Source organism: Homo sapiens, chromosome 10 (assembly GCF_000001405.40).
Source record: "Homo sapiens chromosome 10, GRCh38.p14 Primary Assembly".
NCBI classification, from domain to species: Eukaryota; Metazoa; Chordata; class Mammalia; order Primates; family Hominidae; genus Homo; species Homo sapiens.
This window is the reverse complement of record NC_000010.11, coordinates 10,797,712-10,821,474: the sequence shown is the minus strand read 5'-3', so window position 1 is coordinate 10,821,474 and position 23,763 is coordinate 10,797,712. Positions and strand designations below refer to the sequence as shown.

Genomic DNA, 23,763 nt, shown 5'->3' with positions numbered 1-23,763 from the left:
AATAACTTAATGATAATTAAATACACATGGCAGGGAGAGGCAATGACCCACTGGTGACTTCAAACCTCTGTCCCTGGTACTCTCGCCTTTCCATGCCAAGAACCAATGGCTCGGCTCCGTGCCTGCCCACACACATGCACCCAGCATCCACGTGTGCCTTCAGTGGCCAACTCTACACAAGTGAGGTCTAGAAAGATTTCTCCAGCCATTCCCTTGGAATTCCAGAGCCAGACAGTCACCTGGAAGCTCTCTCTTTGGCATATTAGAGGTACCTTGGACGCTAGATGTCCAAAGTCAACCCCAAACCTGGTTGCCTGGCAGGATTCAATCTACATAAATGATACCCCCACCCATACCAGAAACCTCGGCAGCTTGCTGGACACTTTCTTTTCCTTCAGCCCCACAACCAATGTCACTCCAATCCCTTATGTTTGACTTCCTTGAAATCATTTGAATCTATCCACTTTTCTCTAGCCTCATTGCTCTTGTCACAACCCAAACTACTGTCATCTCTGGCCGGGATATCTACAATAACCCCCAGAATGCTCTCCGAGATTCACTCTGGTTCCCTTCAAATGCATCCTCTCCACCATTCTCAGAATGAACTTGTAGAAATGCAAATCTCTTAGTGGTGCTCTGTTTGAAGGTGTAAATGGTTTCCATTGCTCTTACAATGAGAGAACAAAATCTTCAATGCGGCCTTGAATGTGGCTTAACCCTCATTCCTGTCCTCGCTGGTTGACTCCCATATGGTGTTCTGATCTCAGTGTGAGTAACGATTCCTCAGGAACTCCTTTCTTGATTTCCCTAACTGAGTGAGAGATCTGTGTGTCACCCTCACAACACTCTGTACCTCTCTGTCCACCCCTTAGTGCAGGTGTGATTTTGTATTTATTTTGTGTTATCTCACTACTGTTTTTCTGACTAGGCAGTAAATTCCATGAGGCAGGGGCCATGTCTGTTTATACTCACCAATGAATTCTCCTCCTGGCACATATTAGATACTCAATAAATATTTGAATAAAAACAGATGGAATAAGTCCATGGTTTCTAACATGGAAGAATGGGGAGATGGTGGAAGTCATTGATCAAAGTTGAGAAGAGTTGGACAATGCAGAGAGTTGGAGCAATGAATTCTGTGCAGGACAAGTTACAGATTTTTCCCTTTTTAAATGATTTCTACAGGATACCCACAGAAAAGAGTACTAATATTAGTTCATTTTAATGCTGCTGATAAAGACGTACCCGAAACTGAGAACAAAAAGAGGTTTAATTGGACTTAGAGTTCCACATGGCTGGCGAGGCTTCAGAATCATGGCGGGAGGCGAAAGGCACTTCTTACATGGTGGTGGCAAGAGAAAAATGAGGAAGAAGCAAAAGCGGAAACCCTCTATAAACCCATCAGATTCCATGAGACTTATTTGCTATCACAAGAATAGCACAGGAAAGACAGGTCCCCATGATTCATTTACCTCCCCCTGGGTCCCTCCCACAACACACGGGAACTGTGGGAGATAAATTCAAATTGAGATTTGGTGGGGACAAAGCCAAACAGTATCAGGTACAGAGAAGGGATGCAAGCTCAAATGCCCATAGGGACCACCCAGATAACATACAATAAGGGAGGCCATGAAACTGTAAAGTCTGAGACAGTTGACAATGGGTGGGAACTGAAGGTGCATGAAAAATCAGACCCAACCTAAGACATTCTATTAGCAAAACAAAACACTTCTGCAAGCTCCAGTCAGCCCTCTTGGAGAGCTGCTTGACATCTTGGAGAGCAGAGGAAAAGAAGGTCAAAGATAAAGGCCTAGGTATGCAGAGGGGGAGGTGGCAGAGGGGAAGGAGGAGTGAGCACAGATGCAGGAGAGAACCAGTGGATGTTCTCTCTCCAGTCTCGTGGAAGCCATGAGAGCAAACTTCTCAAAGAGAAAGGGGTGAGTCAACAACGTTAATGCTTTGAGAGTTCCAGAACAATGAGGGTTAAAAGTGGGCCACTGGATCTGGTTATTAAGATTTGGCATTGGTAACCCTGGCAAAAACAGTTTCACGCTAAACTCATGCTAAAATTCGTGGTTTCTGGCTCTAAAGCTAGGCTGATTTCAGCACTTCCTCTTCAAATAGGGTTATCCCAGAGCGCTGCGTCTGACCTTAGTTGACTCAGGTTCCCTTTCGATCAACATCAGTATCTCACATTCCCCTTAAATGTTATCTTTTTAATTAAAATAAAATTAAAATGTAACTAAAACCCCATTAAAGCAAGGATAACTTTGTATATGCTTTATAGTTTCATAATTCAAATACCCAACACCTTGAGAGGTATACTGAACAGCTATCATTCCCATGTTAGAGATGAGAATACAGAAACTCAGGGAGGTCAAGAATTTACCCAGAATTAATAACCAGGTAAATGCAATCACTATCAGCCCAAGTCTGGGCTCATCCCATGTCTGTGCCAAGTGCTTCCTGGTTAGTCTACTTGGTGAGATACTATTAAGTTTCAGTTGACTGTACCTCTACCACAGGACACACACACCCAAGAAGCCCAGGTAAGAGTGGCTCAGACATTCAACTTTCTGAAGGAAATATGCCACGCTGTCTGGGCATGGTGGCTCATGCCTGTAATCCCAACATTTTGGGAGGCCGAGGCAGGCAGATTACTCGAGGTTAGGAGGTCGAGACCAGCCTGGTCAACATGGGGAAACCCCATCTCTACTAAAAAACACAAAAATTGGCCAGGCATGATGGCAGCTATCCCATGGCATAACCCCATGATGGCAGTAATCCCAGCTACTCAGGAGGCTGAGGCATGAGAATCACTTGAACCTGGGAGGTGGAGGCTGCAGTGAGTTGAGATCGCGCCACTGCACTCCAGCCTGGGCGACAGACAGTGAGACTCTGTCTCAAGAAAAAAAAAAAAAAAAAAAAGGAAATATTTAATGCTGCTTGTTGGAACCACTGAAGGCTGAGAGCTTTGGCCCCCAGAAATGAAGCTGTCTTTTTCCTTATCAGCTTCTGTAAGTAAGGTCATACAACTGGGATCTGAAACTATGATCACTTCTCTAATGGAAGCAGAACGTCATCTAATGAGAAAAACCTTTCTTTTGGATTTACTACTTCAGTGGCTAGACAGCTGGATCTGCTTGGGTCCTCTGCTTTTGGAGTCTGGTGCATGTGACTGATACACTCATGCTGGCCACAGAGCTGTCTTTTCCTGGCAGAACAGATGGGTGGATCACCAGAGGAGTTCCTGGAGGCCTTGTGAATGCGTATTAACACAAAACCAGTGGCATATAGTACCTCTTAAAGATTATAGCCCCAAAATATAGTTTCTGAATAGATGCTGCCTAGACAATTTTATTGACCCCAATGAAATACCCTTGGTGATCAGAAATATTTGGCTTTATGTACAAGTGATATTAGCGGCAACATCAGTTTGTTTAATGAGTGGGTGGGTGAGTACCATGTGCTAGGTGCTTTGTAAGGTCGGCTACCTCAGAGATTCAATACTTACCTAAGGTCCTACAGTTATGAAGTGGCAGACTGGATTTGAATTCAGGTCTATTTTGCACAAAAGTCTACTGTCTTACTATACACTGGGCCTCAAACACAAATTAAATCAAGCAATAGTAGTAAGGGAGCAAAAGTTCAGTAACCTTATTACTTTACGACATAATGATGTTATTGCTTCTATGTTTGTTGCAACACTGTTTACAATAGCTAAGATTTGGAAGCCACCTAACTGTTCATCAGCCAATGAATGGATAAAGAAAATGTGGTACGTATACACAATGGAGTACTATTCAGCCATAAAAAATGAGATCGAGTCGTTTGCAACAACATAGATGGAACTGGAGATCATTATGTTAAATGAAGTAAGCCAGGCACAGGAAGACAAACACTGTATATTCTCACTTACTGGTGGGATCTAAAAATCAAAACAATTGAACTCATGGACATAGAGAGTAGAAGGATGGTTACCAGAGGCTGGGAAGCGTAATGCGGGGGTTGGGGGAAGCTGGGGATGGTTAATGTTACCAAAAAATAGTCAGAAAGAATGAATAAGACCTACTATTTGGTAGCACAGTGGGAATGACTATAGTCAACAATAACTTAATTGTACGTTTTAAAATAATTTAAAGAGTGCTATTGGCTTGTTTGTAACTCAAAGGATAAATGTTTGAGGGGATGTGATTACACATTGCATGCCTGTATCAAAACATCTCATGTACCTCATAAATATGTACACCCACTATGTACCCACAAAAATTAAAAAAAGGAAAAAAACCCTCATGTTAATGCCCTAAACTTAGCCTAACACAGACAGATGTGTCTATTCCTTTTCTTCTCACTTGGATTCCATGTAAAACATCAGTCCTCTTTGCACACTCTCCCACCGTCCACTGCCCGCCATGTTGGTTCTGTACCATCTGGAAACTTCCAGGCTCAGCTTCCAAGTCAGTTGTTGGAATTGCTGACACCACCTTATCTGACCTATAGGTTCCCAATTTTCTTTTCCAACTTTCAGTAATTTTCTTTCTTAAGGAAGGGCCAGAGTAGTGCATATTTGCATATTTTATCTTTCATATACAAGAGGTTTTCATGTTGAAGACTCCAGTACAGCCTATGGCTACAAGCTGTCTTTTTAAAAGAGTATCTGCTTAACTTTAATCCATTACCTGAACCTGGACCATACTAAACCAAATCGTTACATGGAATCACCTGTGGAGAATTTAATGGCAAAGCAAGGAAGCAAATTAGTACCATATGATTAGCTTGAGTAATACTAAGTTTGTTTATCCAAGGCCCATCTGAAGAATGGATTGCATTTTTAAGATATGACTTGTTTTCCATATCTGCACAGAAGCATGTCTCCAGTTAACTGGACATTTAATTTTCCACGTATTCCTCTTTCTTCTTACAGCTCTATGGCTATTCAGTATGTGCATAATACAGATAAAAATAATTATAGGAAAAGGGACACAGAGAGTGTCACAATTAAACTGTGCATTAGCAAAATACACTCAATATACTTGAAACATCTTGATTGCTGTAATCAGGTAGGTTAGATTTTCAGCAAATACTTTTTTAAACAGAGGTTTATCTGAAGTCAGAAGCAGAAGCCAGCTCCTAGAGTCACCCTATAACACAAAATTACCTGAATGTGCCTTTGATTATTTTTTTAAAAATCAGATATAAAGAGAAATAAGAATGTAAATCAATGGATTTATGAAACACAGGGCCTCTTCAGCCACTTTCCAGGACTGGCTTATTTGTCTCTTGTCTGAACTGTCTTTACTAAAATCTTCTGTGCTTACCAACAACAAATATAGAAACTTATGGTCTCAAGATGTGATTTATACTTTTATGTTACAGGCTGGAGATTAAAGTTTAGACCAAATACAATTGCAGGGGTCAATAAAAGTAAAAGGTCTATGTAGGAGGATGGTGTTACCACAAGTCAAAAAACATTCACTGTTTTCACGAAGATAAAACATCGTCTGCCAAAAAATAAGAAACGATGATCAAAAGGGATTTAGGCCAATTTATGGGGCAAAAAAAAAAAAAAACAACCCAAACCCCAAGCTATGAAATATAGAGTCAAGGACTTACTCTCACTTTCTCTATGGTGTTTGAAGTTTATATGCAAAATGTTTAGCTCTGTTCCCCATCTAACTAACAGGCTGGTTGAGGGTGTTCTGGGTCTGCTCATTTACTGAATGGTGATCCACAGAACGTATGCAAAAGACAAGGAAGCTAATTTCATGGCTACCAAAAAAAAATTAACTAGAGAATTAAAGCTTAATATAGCTTTATCCTCTGGAGAGAGCTGCTTGATTGCAGACAGAGCCTAAAACAAGGATTCCAAAATACAACAAACTAGTTTCATTAGAAAGACTTTGCCCAAGATATGTTCAATAAATGGAAAACCACATTTGCTGCCTGTCTTCTGTAATGAGGGAAGACAGCAGAACAGGGCTAGTCTGGGAACCAGGCAAACAGGTTTTATTCTCTATATTCTCTAACCTAGTTACTAGTTTTTAGGAAACAAAACCCAAGTTCTCAGGAGCTGTTTTTCTCAAACAAACACTCCCCTCTTTCAATGATATAAATAATGACCATTTCCTCCTTTCCTGCAGAAATATTAATTGAGCAAATTGTCCTTTTCTGCCACCATCAGCACAAGGCCAGTTGCCCAAAGGTAAAATCTACCTCTTGCTGTACAAGGGGAGAGAGGGGCAAAGAGGAGCACATCAGTGACACCCTGGGAGAAAACCTGATTAGAATCTGGGCCAGGGCAGGGGCTCCAGAGGGTTTTACACCCACCAGGAAGAAGTCATACATGCAATTAAAGTCTTTAAGATAAATTCTGCCTCAAACTGCTTCCCTCTCCAGTGATCTTCTCAAAGCCCCATTCTTCTATAATTCTCACTCTTTGACAAGGCAGACTGACACTTTCAATTTAGTAATTGAAGGGCAATTGATTGTGAAGTGGTAATTTATTAAGGAAGAGGGGAGAGAGCTATCCTAACCAGGAAGGAACTCAATCCAAGTCAGGTCTTCATGCCCTAGGTGCTCTAGACGGAACCTATGGTGTGTGATTTCAGGCATACTGAAAGCCTCACCAAAATTCGAATTCCTGAGTTCTTCTGTTCCCACCTCCCATCTCATGTTGCATAATTGGAGATAGTTCCTAAAATACAAATCCCCTGACATCATATTACCTGGATTTAACCTCAAGGTAAGCTGTAACTGATTGAGCTCTCTGAAGAGCCTCCCTACAGGAGGAAACTGGAGGGCCATGTTACCTCATTTGGCCCAGGGCCAGCTCAAAATCTTAAATCTCTTCAAAAACAGTGTTCTCATTCTCTAGTGATAGAGATGCATGGCCTGTCATGGAGGGGCCCAAGAGGCACGTGTTGGAAGTGGGAAATGTGGGCTTCTCTGGGATACTACGGCGCTGCTGTGGTTGCCCGAAGGCCTGATCATACATGCATTCAATCTAGCATCCAAGCCATGAGCGAACTTTATTTTTGTTTAAAAATAAAATGTGGGAGGCCACATCCAAAAGAAGAGGTTAGATTTTGTGGCGATGAAGACAGCAATCATGGATACAGACCAAGACAAAGAGAGTCAAGTTCTCTTTCTTCTGAAGTCATCTTCTGGCTCTTTTGGGCAATAAATGATCCCAGCTGCCTTTCTTCCCAGAGTCCTACAGTCCCTTTAGAGCAGCTTTTTTTTTTTTTTTTTTTTTTTTTTAGGACTCTTCTTTCCCTTTCTTCCTTCTCTTGTTCCCATTTCATGATCTGTCCTCCTTCCCCAAAGGGATAAGTGCCTGCTATGGAAGGATGTGGCTCCAGGTCATTGAAATGTATATTTGCTAGAGAGTAGAGGTGCTGAGCCTTCCTTAAAAGACAAAGTGTGCACTGTTGTTTGGCCTCAATATATCCAAAGTGAAAGGAGATCCTGGGTCTGAACAAACCCAGCTCTCTCTCTCTCATCTCTTGTACACTCTTTTTCCCAGGAGCTAAAGCCCAGGACAGCTTAGCTCAGCACACAGTACTGGGGGAAGCAGATTCTCTCTTGCTGCTTCTTGTAGTTCAGTCTCCCTGTTGCTGTCCAAGTTATCGTGGATCTCAAAGGTTCTAAAACTCAATGGAGTTAGCAAACCACGGCCCATGGCCCAAATCCAGCCCAACACCTGTTTTTGTAAAACTGTAAGTTTTATTGGAATACAGCCATTTGGAATAAACTGCTTAAATAGAGTTTAAAGGAAGTTTTGCTGGAATAAACCTTTTAAATAGAGACCATGTGCTTTCATGGAGAAGGGGAAAAGCATCCCAGGTTTGGAGAACTGGATAATGTATGTTATGTTCAATAACGACAATAATAATGGCAGCCAAGGAAGGACACATGCGAAGTCTCAGAGCCGGCATTACATGCCATTTACAAATAACCAACTTCAGTGAGGGCCACATCTTCCCAGTTCACAAAATCTTTCACTTTACCCACCAGGAAATATGATCAAATGTATAAAACTGCCATTTCCACAGCTCTGTAACAATTCTTTCTGACTTGGACATTTGTATCTTTATAAGAATGAAAAACTAGCACAAAACAAAATCAAAATGGAGTTCTACAGCATGGTTAACAGAAACACCTGCACCCTGGATGGATTGCAATCTTCAGCCCTGCAGGACCAGTCATAAAATCGCTAATGTCAGTCTCTGTCAGCAGAACTCATCCCTGAACAGCTGATTTACATTAGAGCTCCAGCTCAGAGACAGCACATCTGAACACAGATCTGTAGTTTCGTCCATCAGCTCTACGGAAGGAGTGGGAATAAAAGAGCCTTGAAAGAAAATGAGGATCAATATAAAGAGAATTGCTGTGCTGTGAGAAAAACTGGGCAGTATAGGAGATGGATTCATGGTATCACTCAGAGGTGGGATTCGGGATCCGATGGGAAGGTACTTCTCTGTTCTATCTTACATCGATCATACAATTTTATAGTTGGGCAATCCTGGTTCAATATCTCATAGTAGAAATGAGGAATATGTGGGTTTCCATCCAAACACTCAGATAAACGCAGTGCCTGATGATATAAGGGATACAGGAGGACACCAGATTGAATCAGACATTGACCCTGCCTATCTTCCAGACATTGACACCCTATTAATGGAATTACTACACAAACACTACAAAGTAGAAAATATGCATTTGCAGATCTGAGGTTTAGATTCAGTGTTATGAACATTCAGAAGAAGAAAATCTTACTTCCACCTGAGGGTGGACAGCCAGGGAGGGGGCTTAGTGAGAAGTTCTCAGGTGAAATTAGAAAGCATGAAACCTGGGTCCTGCATACAGGACCAGGCACTGCTGAGGACACAGTGCTGAACAGACAGTCCCTATCCTCCTAAATAATATGGTGTTTGGGGAACGGAGACTTTTATTTTTACATAGACATGAAGAGATCATCAAGAAATTGATCTCTCAGGTGCCCTCTAACTCTGTTGCACTAAAGTCGAGAGTGGTGGTGATATGGTTTGGCTGTGTCCCCACCCAAATCTCATCTTCAATTGTAGCTTCCATAATTTCCACATGTTGTGGGAAGGACTCAGTGGGAGATAATTGAATCATGGGGGCAGTTTCACCCATACCGTTCTCATGGTAGTGAATAAGTCTCACAAGATCTGATGGTTTGATAAGGGGTTTCCCCTTTTGCTTGGCTTTATTCTCTCGTTTGCCACCATGTAAGACATGCCTTTTGCCTTCTGCCATGATTGTGAGGCCTTCCCAGCCACATGGAACTGTGAGTTCATTAAACCTATTTTTCTTTATAACTCACCCACTCTCGGGTATGTCTTGGTCAGCAACATGAAAATGGACTAATATAGGTGGGAAATACAGCAGCTCTGCATGAGAACAGACAGGACCCTGCATGTGGATTATTATCTTTACTGTGGACTGGACAGCATAGGATCCTAGGATTCTGGGACTTTTAGCCAAAATACATTATTTGGGGAGAGGAGGGGAGATGAGGGGCACATGGTGATTTTCTCTTTCCTAACAACACTCTCTCTGGGACCAAACTCCTTGCAGCCCTCTTCTCAACTAGGCCTCCACCTTGAGCTATAAAAACCACAGACTCAACACAAATGATTTCATCAGTCCCCCATGACACATTTGAAGACGTAGTTTCTAACAGCTCAAGGCCACATCCCCAGGGTGATTCCATTCCCCTTAAAGTGTCTGCCTCAGAAGGCTCCAGGATGCCAAAAGAATTGACCCTGTGTTCCAGCCAATACCTGACACAGGCCCCTGCCCTCCCTTTCTTAGGTCATTGAATACATAGGGCTTATAATGGTGATCCCTTCCTCCATCCCTTTGAGATGTGCATGTACCCCCTGCAACTCAGGAGGGTCTTTCTGAAGAACCTGAAAGCTGTTTCTTTACAATGTAACCACGAGGAAGACCAGGGCCCCTCTCCCCCCATCTCTGTGGGAGAACTGAGTCCTAACATCTACAGGTGGCAGTGTACACACCCAGTTGCCTAATCACATTGCCCACATTTGCAATTTTTCACTTCCTGACTCTATGGCACTCCTGCTTTCTGGCCCTCCACCCCATTCTCCCTTTAAAAAGCCTGGTCATCTCTATAAAGCTGAGCCCTGTTGATGCTGGAAGTGCATCCCTACTGCAATAATTTATTGGTAATTAAAATCTGTCCTGACCACTTAATTTATAAACAAAGAAAACTTTATATTTGACCATTATCTGCTGCTGTGACTCAGATCTGGATCTGCTGCCATGAGATCCTTGAACAGGACAACTCTGCCTGCACAGAGACTTTTGTGTCCTCTGGGTCTTTGGTCGTGAGTCTGACTCTCCTGATCCAAGGCTCCGAACACATGTCTGTAGGAGCACAGCGAGGAGACATTTTGATACTGATGGCTCTGCGCATACTCTCTGAAGCTGGAAGAGAGTCCCAGGCTTCTTTCAAAGGGGACCTTCTGGGTTGCAAGTGTTTCTTCCTGGATCCTTATTCTGAGTGGGGATTCATTCCCTGATGCCTGAGTTGGAAATTATTTTTCTTCCTGCCCATCCCATAGGAACTTCTCAGCCATCTGAAAGCCCCTTTTTGAACTCCTGCTGACTGGAAGCTCCACCACGATGGCACTCACTCTACCCACTTCTTGTTGGCATGACTTGATGAACGATGATTGGGAACTTTAGTGGTTTCTTTGGGAACAGGGTCTCCCTAAACTGGCTCCTCTAAGACCTCTCCCTTCCGTTACCTCCTTCCTCCTTCTGCCGGTCTCCATCTTCCCTTCCACTCCCCTGCATTCTTTGATATGAGCCCCTTAGAGCCGCCCCTGGCTCTTCCTCTTCTCTCTTCCCTCTGCTGGACCCTTCCCTTCCCATTCCAGCCACTCAATTACTGACAGTTACTGGAACCTGAGGCCAGCTGCCCCCATTGGGGGATGCTTAAGGGACTTAGGGATCCCAAAAGCAGCTACCTGAGGCTGCAAAGAAAAACTAATTGGAAACAGATATTTAGTTCACCTCCCCCATGAGATGATCTATCAAGGTAAAAAAATCTTAAAGGCCTCCTCCACAAATATTAGTGGTAAATTTTAGCTCTCACATTCAGCAGGTGAATGTTGGCTACTCCATTTGCCAGAAACACAAATTGGATTAAAAAAATGGAGTAAAGATGAGAACTAACTCTTCCGTACACGATTGTATTTTGTATTATTGTATTTATGCCTGACTCATGGCTAATATTAAAAATGAAAGCCATAGGTTTCTATTTATGTCTATCTGTGTGTTTATGCATGTATGTAAGGTACCTTCCCTCCAGATGGCATTGACAAATTAATTTACAAAATCCTTTAAAAGAGTTCTATCCTAATTGGCTTAGAGGGAAATATGCACTTATGTAAATTAAATCTTTCTAAAACTGTCAGAAATATAGAAACCCACTCAAATGTTTATGTAATTTGAGTAAATTCTTGGTAAGATTAGTTTAATATTGTTGGTTCAATAAAAAAGGTATGTTTTCAGAGTTGTCAACATTAAATATAACGTGAGAATAAATTTTTGTTTTTCTTGAGTTTACCAGTCACATAAACTAATATTTTCTAGATATTTAAGATTATAAAAATGATAATTTGATTTGAAGCAAATTAAATCATTATTTTCACAAACTTCAGTTCAAGAATAATTGTTTCATAATGTTTGCCTAAGAAGAGTTTCCAAAATCTTTTCAGTTACTTGCAAACTTAGAAGTCTGCTAAATTAAATAATGGATATTCATTAAATATCTAAATAATTTTCAAGTAAGTACTAAAGCATCAATTATTAAACGTTAGCTTAAGTTTATATACTTTTGACTTATTGTCGTATGGTATAGAGTGTCTGAAGATTATTAGGTTCTGCTAAGGAAAAGAGAAATTTTGTCCTAAAGTGACTGGTTGTTCCAGAATGAGAAAGATGGAAAGTATAAGATGAAACCCGAATGGATGCAGAAAGTCATAGAAAGTTTAAGGAAAAGAATATTATGTTGTGATTAGTCTGCTCAGATCACCATAATGAAATACCATAGACTGGGTGGCTTAAACAGTACAAGTGCATTTTCTCACAATTCTGGAAGCTAGAAGTCTGAGATCAAAGTCCCAGCATGGTTCTAATGAGGGCTTTCTTCCTGGCTTGCAGACAGCACCTTCTTGCTGTGCCCTTCCATGGTAGAGACAGAGACAGAGAGAAAGAGAGAGAAAGAGGGAGGCAGAGAGAGAGAGAAAGAGTATGCACAAGCACGAGTGAGCTATGGCATCTCTTCTTTTTAAGGATACTAATCCCGTCATGTTGGTTTCACTTCCATAAACTTATCTATACCTAATTATTTCCCCACAGCCTCATCTCCAAATACCACCACATTGGGGGTTAGGGCCTCAACATGTGAATTTTGGGGAGACACATTTCAGTTCACAGTAAATGTCAAGACTTGCTAAGATCAAATGGATTTATGTATAAAATTTTTAAAAATGAGCTTCAATATCAATAGCGTATGGACTCAAACCTAGTTTGGTTTGGTTTTCTCTTTCTGAAAATAAGAATGTTTCTTGAATGAGTGGTATGCTCTTGATAAGAGACTGTAGAAGGTTTTTCTCTACTTTTTAGTAATCTTCCTAGGAGAGAAAGATTCTGCACCTCATAAAAATAATTTTCTGTGTTTCATGTTGTCTTTACCGTGTCTCTGATTAGTTAAGAGAACCATGTCTTCTCACTTTAAAAAGAACTAAGGTTTTTAAAACAATGATCTTACCTCCTGTATTTACTTTTAAATTCTTTCATTGTCACATTGGTTAGATACTTAACTAAGGATTGTTTCGCAGTGACCTGTGATCCTATTTTGTCAAGTAATCGAACCTTTTGACATATTTGACAGCTTTGCCTTCCTAAAATCAAACCCAAATGAAGCCTTCATGATACCAAACTGACTTTGAGATTTCCCAAGGGCCTTTGAAAAATCTCAAAGGGTTTGTTCTTTCACCTGGTTAAAAAAAGAGATGTTAAAATCATTGAATTTACTTGCGAGGTGGAAATTCATGAAAAGCATTATTTAATAAAAAGAAATGTTTAACCTTCCCCAGGTTATATTTGTACAGGTAAATGTGGTATTTCAAAAGTTACACGAAGTTCCTAGAAATTTGTCAATGCCCTTTGTGTCCAGGATCTATCTCAATGCTGTTTTGCCTGATATTAGACAACAATAGTGTGATGTCGTCAGTCATAATTCCAGCAATTATTTTAACATGTTTTATGTCACAGAAACTACCACATTTTCTTGTCGATAGTGTTATTTTTATAATGAATGCCCATCAGATCTTTAACCATGGCCATCTTCAGTATTTTGTCATCCAGAAATAGTGACTGTTTTACTCTGCTCATGCAAACAGCTCAAGCCACAGAACTTTGTCTTTAACAAAAAAGAAGCTGTCTCAGAGACCTATGGAAATAACTGTCTGTGACAGGTACTCTGGGGTGCAAGATTCTGATGTCATTGCTTACATAACCTTGATACCATCCTAATGAACTGAGTCAGGTTTTCCATAACTCTAGCAGAGAAGCTGACAGCTTCATAAAATTGCTAACTCAAGATCAAGCAGAACAAAATTAATTATTTAATATATTGGACTTGGTAAAGTGATAAGGAATGATTATTATGTTTTATGGCTTTTGTTTGGAATATTGCTGGCTCTTTAATACTCTATTTTCTGGATAGCAGAAAATTCCTTTTCCTTTCGTCTTAAGCTATCTGTCATCCAAAAAATCTACTAAATTATACTTTTGTAAACAAAATAGAAACATTTATCTTTTTCTCCCTACCTGATCTCTTCAGAATTCAGAATTTGTTCTTGGGTATTCTTATTTGCATGACAATAGTTATTTGCACAGGTGCAAAAAAAAATCTGTCTCCCTTATAATAGAACATAATTGGAAACATTGGTTTATATGTTCAAGGCTTTGAATGGAATGCCCTATTTGAGAATGACACATAAAATCAGATATGACCAGACATATTTAAGGATCCAAGGTTGACTTTACGGAGTGAAGGTATACAAATCCCTCTTGGAAGAACTAGGCTGATACCTGGCTTACAGGATTTGCAGATGTATAGGTGAGTAAGAATGGTCATGTCCTGGCAAGCCTAAGAACATTAAAATATTTTGGGGACCTCAAAAGAAAAGGAATTTACCCAAAGCTACAGGTATTGAAGGTGAAGTCTGATGGCAAGTTCCTGGCTTGGCTTGCTAGAAAAGCAGAGGCTTTTGAAAGTCCAATAGGAGATTCTTTATTTTCTAGCAAAGCAAACTTAAAAAGGTCTATGTGCTCAATTATTATTTTTGCTGCACTTATATAAATATCATCTGGCCCAGTTTAATGAGACAAGAAACATTTTATAAACAAGAATAGTATTAGTTTATCTTTGATCAAAAAGGGGGGTAACCGTGGACAACAATCTTATGTTTCAATAGAAAACTGCAACACATCCTTGTGGGTGATCAGATTCTAGTCCTGTTCCTTGTTTTGGGGAGTTTATATTATTTACCTGTAAAACCGGACTGGATCCTTCCATCTTACACATATGGTCACCCCTTACCAAATACTCTTCTAGTTTTCTTGAGTGGGTGACTGTAACTCTCCAAAGTTAACGTTTTCACTTTTTCTCCCTTCCACCTGACTTGTCATCAATGAGAACTGAAACCTGATGGCCAAGATCCTTATTGTGACTCAGTGTTGTCTTATAGCTGCTATTTGGCTCCATGATCTGATACAGTCCTGCACACTGAAGCCAGACAAGTGGATCTACATGTCCAGAAAGTCATTACCACAATAAATCATGTAGGAGCAACCATTACACCCAGAGCTGCTGCTACCAGGGCCACTCAGAAAGTCCACTGGAGGCTGGGTGCAGTGGCTCATGCCTGTAATCCCAGGACTTTGGGAGGCCAAGGCAGGCAGATCACAAGGTCAGAGAGATCGAGACCATCCTGGCCAACGTGGTGAAGCCCTGTCTCTACTAAAAATACAGAAATTAGCTGGGTGTGGTGGGACGTGCCTGTAATCCCAGCTACTCAGGAGGCTGAGGCAGGAGAATCGCTTGAACCAGGGAGTAAGAGGTTGCAGTGAACCAAGATCACGCCACTGCACTCCAGCCTGGCTACAGAGTGAGACTCCATCTCAAAAGAAAAAAAAAAAAAAAGAACACTGGAACCCCTGTGTCTCCCATGCTCTGCTCCAGGAAATACCCTTCGTGGTGACATTAATGTCTACACCATGATGACAAAAATCCAAACCGTAAACCAGGAAATCTGTCTGACTGCCATTGCCCTTCTCACTTCACCATCTAAAGATGCTTAGAGCTCAGTGTCCAGAGATCTTCTCAACTGACTGTCCTCTGGCCTCAGACACTGAGTTTACAGTCAGCTCCAACCATTACTTTTCATTTTTCTTTTTGTTTCCATAGAAAGGCCCCTCATTAAATGCCTGATTGCTCCCCCATCTAGCAGATGTCCTCGACTACCGAGTCTCAACAGATGGTTTAGCTGGTCCTTAATGAACACAAGGTGATCAAATGGAAAATGGACTTAGAGTGTTCAAAGCAATGTACACTGTCTCTTTTTTCCTGGAGCAAGAAAAGGACTCCTAAAGACTCTCTCTATGATCAAACTCCAGCCGGGCTCCTCTGAGCTCTTCTCAACTAGGCCTCCACCTTGAGCTATAAAACTTACAAACTCAACAAAAATGATTTCATCCACCCGTCTCCCCCCCTCATTAAAAGACTTGAACAAACACTGACATAGTTTCTAACAGCTCAAGGCCACATCCCTAGGGTGATCCCATTCCATTCCCCTTCAAGTGCCCGCCTCGTAAAGCTCCAGGCTGCCAAAAGAATTGACAATGCATTCCAGCCAACACCTCTTCCTGCAGCTCTGCAAAAAATTTTTAAAAGTACTGAGTCGTAACTGAGTCATGATTCTTCAAATATTCCTAAGGGAAAAGGAAAAATTACGTGGTGCAAAATTTTCCTCTCTGAGGTGTAGTAAAGACAACACACTTTGCCATGCTTGTCAATTTATCAAGAAAAAGTAGTAACTAGATCAGAAAAGTATGTGGTGTCACTGTTTAATTGCTCTAGCTCAGGGTTAGCAATACCCAAGTCCACACTGGGGCTCCACACCTGTTGTATGTGTGTGTTTGGATGAGTGACCGGAACTTTACAAGTATCACTTCCTTCTAAATAAGAGCAAAAGAACCACTACCTACTTCACAGGGCTATTACAAAGATAAAATGAGACATTACATGAAAAGCACTTAGCATAAGGCATGGCATGTAGAAAGCACTGATAATTCTTGTATATTATCATCTAAGAATATAAATTCCTGATCTTCAGATGGCCAGCCTGCTCACAAGGAATACAAGCAGAGCATCCATGCAACCTTTTCTGGCTCTATACATCTTTAAGATGTCATGTGACATGAACCGAAGGGTATCCACACATGACATTCCTCCAAACTTACACAGCGTGCTCTCCTCTGTGAATCTGGGATGCATCTTAGGAGACTTCCCGGCATGTGAAAGAGAAATGTACACTAAATGAGCCAGAGACAGAAATGAAAAAGAAAGCATCAAGGCCAAGCAGTGACTTACAACATTTCGGGGTCTGTTCTATGTTTCCCATCAACGTGTGCTGTTTTCATTAATGGGAGGTTCTCACACACTCCATAAGGGAACACGCAAAAGTGTAGTTCGTTACAGCTTTAAGGCTCATTCAAACATTTAAGGGATGCAGTAAACCATACATTTCCTCCAGACATTCATCATCTTTGTGAGATCAAGTGCTCATAACCTAAAACATCTCTGACCTTTGAAATATCACCAGGGCTCCTCTGAAGTTTTTTCCTAATAACAAGACTAGTTTTTGATATTTGCCTTGTCGTATGAGATTTGAAAGCATCCCTCCAACTATCTGTCAAAGCCACTTCTATTTTCCTGCTAGTCAGATCATTAGTCTAGATCATGGACCAAGTTAGACTATGGGCCCTGGGCCATATCCAGCCCAGTGTTTAAAGACAATCTGTTTAAATAAAGTTTTATTAGGTCACACCCAAGCTGTTTACATACCATCTATGGCTGCTCTCAGGCTAACATAGCAAAGTTGTATAGTTGTGACAGAAACTGTATGGTCAGCAAAACCTGAAATATTCATCATCTGGCCCTTGATGAAGAAATTTGTCAACATCTGTTCCAGATCATTCTCTTGTTTAGAAAGAATAAATTCCACCTCAACACTACATATAGATCAGATTCTCAGAGAGGATTTTAGAATTTTCTACATTACCATATTAGACACTTTTCTGATTGGCACAGAAAAAAGCAACTGAAGATAGAATTACTCAACTAGGTGTTAGGAGTCATTAATTCATCAGTCAATTCATTCATTCCACATAACACAATATCACAGTGCTAAATACTAGGGGTGGGATGTGAATGACATATACAAAGCCCCTGGCCCCATGGAGTGAGTATAAAGTAGGATAAGAGAGACAAAGAGTGACTCCTTCACTCATTCATTCATTCATTCATTGTCGTGTGCTAGGAAATCTTTTAGATATTGGGTATGTAACAGTTAAATACACAAACAGTGCATTCTAATAGGGGAGAGAGATAATCAGTAAACAAATACATATGCAGATGGCAGATACTGGCAATGCTGTGATGAGAATATTAGCTGAACCATACGAAGTGAACATTTTTATAAGTCAATATAGTTGAGTACTGGCTGTTGCCTATGATTCAGTCCATCAGGGAGATGTGCTAGAGGTTGACTTTTGGCTTTAAACTGGGAGGTCAGGGAAGGGCTAACTGAGGAGATGACATGGGAGCTAAGGCTTGAATGAGGAGCAGCCTCTACCCTGCCAATAGCTAAGGAAAGATTGCCAGGCAGGGAGAGGGAGTAGCTAATGAAAATCAAGCCAAAATAGCCTGGCTGCATAACTGAGAAAGAGAAAGACCAGCAGGGCTGGAGCAATGTGAGCTGTGGGGAGAGAGGGAGGAGATTTAGGCAGAGAGGTTCATAAGGGTCAGGCCAGATGGGGCCTTGCAGGTTAAAATAAGGATACTGGCTTTGACTCTAAGAGTAAAGGGCAAGTTTTAGTAGGGAAGTCACAGAATCTGATTTATGGCGTTTGTAATGCTTTCATTCCTCTATGTGCAAAATTGTTTAAGAGAGCAAGAGTGAAGCAGGGAGTCTTGTTAGGAGGTAGCATTCTTAGCAAAATGAGATGTTATCAATGGAAGGTGGAAAAAAGTGGACAGAGTCACTAGGTGCTTAGGAGTCAAACTCAGTAGGAGCTGGCAATAGTTTGGATATAAATTAAGACGGAAAATGGGGGATTAGGGAGACTGCCTAACTTTCCAGTTTGAGTACCTGGCTAGATCACTGTGACTCATGAACCTACTAGAGCTGGAAACCAGTGAGTTCTTGGGGGGACATTATAGATAGAGTTTATAACCTGTTGAGCTTTTGACATCTTTAAGGCATGCAATTGGACTGAGCTGTCTGAAAGCTGAAGGAGAAAGGGAGACAGAAGTGGAGGTGGGGAAGGACATTCCTCAGGAGAGAGGATGGAGTTGGAAGAGGAATTGGCAACAGCTTGCAGTGCTAATGAGTTCTATGACTTCCTTTAGTCAATTCATCTATTCCCTTGTCTCTAAATGGGAGAGTTAAACTTGATTTGGGGTTTTTAATCCTTCCCCAGAGGTGACTTAGGGCTTATGCATGGGTAAAGGAGACACCAGATATTCTGGGTCCCATTCCCTGCTTAATTCTCCTGTCAACTTTTTTTTCTCTCAAGTCTTATCTATAAACATCTCATCTTGTTGCACTCAGCATATGTTCAAGTTTATTTTATTCTTTTTTTGTTTGTTTGTTTGAGACAGAGTCTCGCTCTGTCACCCAGGCTGGAGTGCAGTGGCACGATCTCAGCTCACTGCAACCTCTGCCTCCCAGGTTCAAGCAATTCTCCTGCCTCAGCCTCCTGAGTAGCTGGGACTACAGGTGCGTGGCACCACACCCAGCTAATTTTTGTATTTTTAGTAGGGACAGGGTTTCACCATGTCGGCCCGGATGGTCTCGATCTCTTGACCTCATGATCCGCCTGCCTCGGTGTCCCAAAGTGCTGGGATTAAGGTGTCAGCCACTGTGCCCAGCCTATTTTATTCTTTTAATCATAGGTCTAATACAGTGTCAACTTTTTTCTTCTGTGTACCAAGAATACTTTATTTAGCTTTTGAATTTTTTTCTTTGAATGCAGCTGGAGTGTTTGTACTTTCCGAGGAGTCAAATGGGAGAATGTTGAAAATTATTGGCATGTCTTTTGGTGAAAATTAGGTTTCTTTTATGTCCCTTGGGGTAGACAGTCATTAAAACACAGGCAGTAGCACTACGACCACCCCTGGTTTCTCCATGTAACAAAATGGAACAAGGATGGAGCGATTTCAAATAGACAGTTCTTGAGAAAGGCTTATAACCTGAAATTGTGCACTGCAAACAGATCATCTCCTAAAACACTATATTGTGGCATAAGCAGGTTTTAAAATTGTGCCTTTTGATGACTTTTTAGGAGCAACAGGTTTGGCAGAACTCTAGACTGAGCTCCTGGACCAAACACATGAGGATCTTCCAGGTTACGTGGGTTTAAAGGCCTTTTTGCCTTGTAATATGCTTTACATATCAAATGTTCTACTCATTTGTTAATCAGATGAGGACAGTAACTGCTCTTTCTCTTTACCAGAATGGGGCCTCTCACGCCATTCTCTGGATTTCTAAAGCATTTTATTGACATAACTCAGATCACAGACAACCCTGCTAACAACCGTGCTATGTGGCGTTAGAGTACACACCTCATTCTCCTGCTAGATCACCCATTTATCAGGCTGTGTTTTATCTTTGCTTCTTCCACATATTATAGGCAGAGACTTATTGGTGGCAAGTAAACCGTTAAATGAAGCAAAATTAGCCAAAAGGATGCCTTGTTGTAAACAATTAAGGAATTTAAAATGCAATTTATAAACTCTATCCCTTTATGGTTCCTGACCTCAGAAAAGGATTACACACAGTTAAAAAGCCAGTGGAATAATGCTTGCCAAGAAGAGGTGTGGACAGAATGAACTTGGTGTAGCCAAAGGAGTCAATGTAAAAATGTTTCTCTTTCCCAGGTCTTGCCAGTCCAAGTTTCTGAAACTTCACTTACTCTAGCAAAACTAAGCTTCACTTAAATTTGGGGCATGTTTAGGGGAAAAACAACATTCTCACTGTTTTTTTTTTAAAAACGGGTTAAGACTTGAGATCATTATCTAAAAATGCCTTTGGGGGCGATACATGTTTCAAAATCTATAACCGTAGTCATATACATTCTTAGAGCTACAGCCTGCCTTATCCACTGATGTAATAATAGTAAGTTAATCGCCTGAGAAAAATTGTTTGAAAGCACTTGTAGGAAGTGTTTCAGTTTTAGAGACAGGTTAGTAATCCAGTTTAAAAAAAAAGGAAAGCATCATTTATTCTAATAGATGTATCCTAAGAACATTTAAAGAAGCACTTTACCATTTTTCGATAGTTAAAAATAAAGTTTAAACATGCAACAGAAAAAAAATCACTGAAGGACTCATGAAAATGTAGCTTTCATCAAGAAATCCTGGTAATTATTTAACGAAAGTAAAAAGCCAGGTACACAAAGATGTTCATTATGTTGTTGTTAGTACAAATTAAGGAGTGGAAACAATCTAAATTTTCAACAAAGAGGGTGTATCACCTGAGGTCAGGAGTTCGAGACCAGTCTGGGAAACATGGTGAAACTCTGTCTCTACTAAAAATAGAAAAAATTAGCCAGGTATGGTGGTAGGCACCTGTAATCCCAGCTATCTGGGAGGCTGAGGCAGAAGAATTGCTTGAACCCGGGAGGTGGAGGTTGCAGTGAGCAGAGATCATGCCACTGCACTCCAGCCTGGGCAACAAGAGTGAAACTGCATCTCAAAAAAAAAATGTACATTAATATTACGGTGCTTTATTTAGCCATTAAAATGGCGGTTATGAAAGTTAGGCAGAAACATGAAAACACGTTTGATATGTTAGCTGGAAACAGCAGATTATAAAATAGCACATACTACCTGATGTGCAAAAAGCATCCGTGGAAAGTTCTAGAATATGACATGCAGTACTTTTTAAAAAGAAAATAATTAAGATGGGTATTGGCAATTTTTAAATTTGCTCTTTTCTATAATCTTGTTCTTAAAAATAACAAAATCAGACAAACATGAAGACAGAGTCATGAATAGGAAATAAAAACTTAGCAAATTAATACAACACAAATGTCAGGAAAAAGAAGTTCCAGTAACGTCCGCACATTTCTCCTCATTTGTATTTCCTGTTTGGGTTCTGGTCTAGCTCCTATGAAGCCATGTTTTGGGGAAGGTATTTGGAAGACATGACACTGTGCAGAACCACTTTTAACAAAAATCCCTCAATTGAACATTTTCATATTTCAAAAATTGCCAAAAACGCATTTGCTAGGAAATACCATTTACAGTCAGTGAAGCCCAAGAATTAACTCTGCCAAGGTAGTCAGCTTAGACAGGATGCATGAACTCTGCCCTTTCTAGCTCCTTGTGTTCTAATTTTTCTGGGCCTCTGAGAGATGAGGAGGTCAGAGTGCACTTTTTTAGGAGCATTCAGAGAAAGACTTTATGTCATACATTCTGCCCATTCAGTTTCACCATAAGCTGAGGCCTGGGGGTGGGGGTGGGGGTAGGGGAGAGGTCAGAGGAGGAAACCAAGTTTCCCTTGACCCTTCAAGGGCCCTAATAAGGCTTTCTGGAAAAGTTCGCTTTTCCTTTCTTTACTCTTTTTTTAAATTTTTTGAGATGGATTCTTACTCTGTTGCACAGGCTGGAGTGCACTGGTGTGATCTCTGCTCACTGCAACCTCCACCTCCTAAGTTTAAGCGATTTTTCTGACTCAGCCTCCCAAGTAGCAGGGACTACAGGCACCCACCACCACACCTGGCTAATTTCTGTATTTTTAGTAGAGACAGGGGTGGTTTTGCCATGTTGGCCAGGCTGGTCTCGAACTCCTGACCTCAAAGGGATCCATCCACCTTGGCGTCCCAAAGTGCGGGATTATAGATGTGAGCCTCCGCACCTGGCCAAATTTCGCTCTTCTATCTGAAGTCCCAGAAAGTTGACCACATTCCACCTCACACCTTTAATGCCCCCCTGAAGCCCAAAAATTCAATATGAGGATTCCTTCCAGCGAGTCAGCTGGTGTCATTTAAATAAGACTGTCCTCCCTCATTGCCAAGGCTTCCCGACCTCCCCCCTGGGGTGAAATTGGAGGACCTCACGTTCACAGGCCACTCCTTACACCTCTGCCTCCGAACAGTCTTCCCACTAGCAGATCTGCGCATCCCTGAACCCCACAAGGTGCATTTCAAGCAACCCCAACCACTTCTGCACAGGTGTGGGGCGGGAGCAGGGCCTTGGCTATGAACTCAAACCAGGATGCAAGAGAAAGCAAAGCAGGCCTACCTTAAAACTTTCCAGTTTTTCAGAGGATCCAAGTCAGAGACCAAGGAAACCATTGTCTAGGAGCCGGCTGAGGGCGAGTCCGGAGAGGAGGAGGCGGGGATGGGGTGCTGGGGAACAGACGGAGGATTCTGGACCCAGGCCGGGCCCTGGCGCCCCGCGGCTCCCTCCTTCCCGGGCTGACACGCACTTTTCCTGACTTCTCTCCACCCCGCAAATCAATCCTGCGCTCTCCTCCGTCCCACACCCGGCTCCCAGCTCCACACCACCTTTTAAAGCCCCGGTAATCTGCTCCAACTGATCAAATTTGACCTTTTTGTAGCCCACTTTATTCCAAGCACAGCTCTCACTTAAATCTCTCTTTATTAACACCGTCCTCCTTGGCTTTCTTTGGGAACAAACACAGATCAAGCCTGAAGCCTCTGGACTTTACCAGCAATCATTCGCAGATTACTGCAAGCTGCAGCCTTCCCCTCCTTGGGGGTATTTCTCCTGCCTCGGAGATTTTGCTTTTCTTATTCCTGGCAGGAGACTGGTTAGGTTTCTTTCCTCCTTTTTTCGTGGCTTAGGCTCTGGGACTCTGACACTGGGCTTAGAGCTACCCTCAGAGGCTGTAACTACTTTACTGCTGGGATTTGTTTTTTAAAAATAATTTGGAACAGGACTGCAAACAAGCTAGACTTTACTGTGTGTTTTCTGGCAGGGATTTTTTGCTACACTGCTCCCCCACCCTTTGCTGGCTTTCTTGTGTTTTTAAATAACATGAAGGAGGAAATGCAGAATCTCTTTAAACATAAAGAGAAAAGGGTATAGGCTACCCCCTACTCGCCCCCCACCTTGTGTATCTTGTCATTTACTGAAAACCAAACATCCTTCCAATACTCGTTTGAAATTGTGCATGAGAGATGTTTTAAGATATCCAGGCAGTATTGTTTTCCTGTACTGTTTGTTCATAGTTTGTCTCCTTATCCCTTCGCCCCGTATGGGTTCTTCGGGACTGTACTGATTTCTTATTTTCATAAGCACTGCCTCTTAAGCAGAGGCTTCTATGCTTGGAGGGTCCTGGTTTGAACTAAGACCTCCGCAGCTGAAGCTCTTCCTCCTGCCCT

At 41.5% G+C, this 23,763-nt stretch overlaps 1 protein-coding gene across 24 annotated transcripts in view, besides 4 other annotated features; it reads right to left on the bottom strand.

Moving 5' to 3' along the window:
- The window catches only part of CELF2 (CUGBP Elav-like family member 2), an 874,126-nt gene that overhangs the window by 515,201 nt on the left and 335,162 nt on the right, over positions 1–23,763 (bottom strand). For 8 of the 24 annotated variants that reach the window (XM_047424492.1, XM_047424491.1, NM_001326328.2 and 5 more), the window contains exon 1: positions 22,658–22,750. The exons of 14 other annotated variants lie outside the window; for them this stretch is intronic. Coding sequence is in view for 6 of the 10 variants with exons in the window: in XM_047424487.1 (XP_047280443.1) it covers positions 22,658–22,710 (53 nt within the window). In the remaining 4 variants the exon portion in view is untranslated. Of the gene's footprint in view, positions 1–22,657; positions 22,765–23,763 lie in introns of those variants that run through there. 2 more of the 24 variants (XM_047424485.1, XM_047424484.1) reach the window with 1 other exon arrangement.
- Positions 381–927: an enhancer, noted in NCBI's record as "NANOG hESC enhancer chr10:10862511-10863057 (GRCh37/hg19 assembly coordinates)". NCBI's record gives its function as "activates a minimal SCP1, AML or CMV promoter by ChIP-STARR-seq in naive H9 embryonic stem cells {active_cell/tissue: H9 hESC(naive)}" and the evidence as "EXISTENCE:reporter gene assay evidence [ECO:0000049][PMID:30033119]".
- Positions 15,441–16,640: an enhancer, noted in NCBI's record as "CDK7 strongly-dependent group 2 enhancer chr10:10846798-10847997 (GRCh37/hg19 assembly coordinates)". NCBI's record gives its function as "activates an origin of replication core promoter dependent on BRD2, BRD4, P300/CBP, MED14 and CDK7 cofactors, with strong dependence on CDK7, by STARR-seq in HCT116 cells {active_cell/tissue: HCT116}" and the evidence as "EXISTENCE:reporter gene assay evidence [ECO:0000049][PMID:35650434]".
- Positions 22,212–22,905: an enhancer, noted in NCBI's record as "H3K27ac-H3K4me1 hESC enhancer chr10:10840533-10841226 (GRCh37/hg19 assembly coordinates)". NCBI's record gives its function as "activates a minimal SCP1, AML or CMV promoter by ChIP-STARR-seq in primed H9 embryonic stem cells {active_cell/tissue: H9 hESC(primed)}" and the evidence as "EXISTENCE:reporter gene assay evidence [ECO:0000049][PMID:30033119]".
- Positions 22,906–23,600: an enhancer, noted in NCBI's record as "H3K27ac-H3K4me1 hESC enhancer chr10:10839838-10840532 (GRCh37/hg19 assembly coordinates)". NCBI's record gives its function as "activates a minimal SCP1, AML or CMV promoter by ChIP-STARR-seq in primed H9 embryonic stem cells {active_cell/tissue: H9 hESC(primed)}" and the evidence as "EXISTENCE:reporter gene assay evidence [ECO:0000049][PMID:30033119]".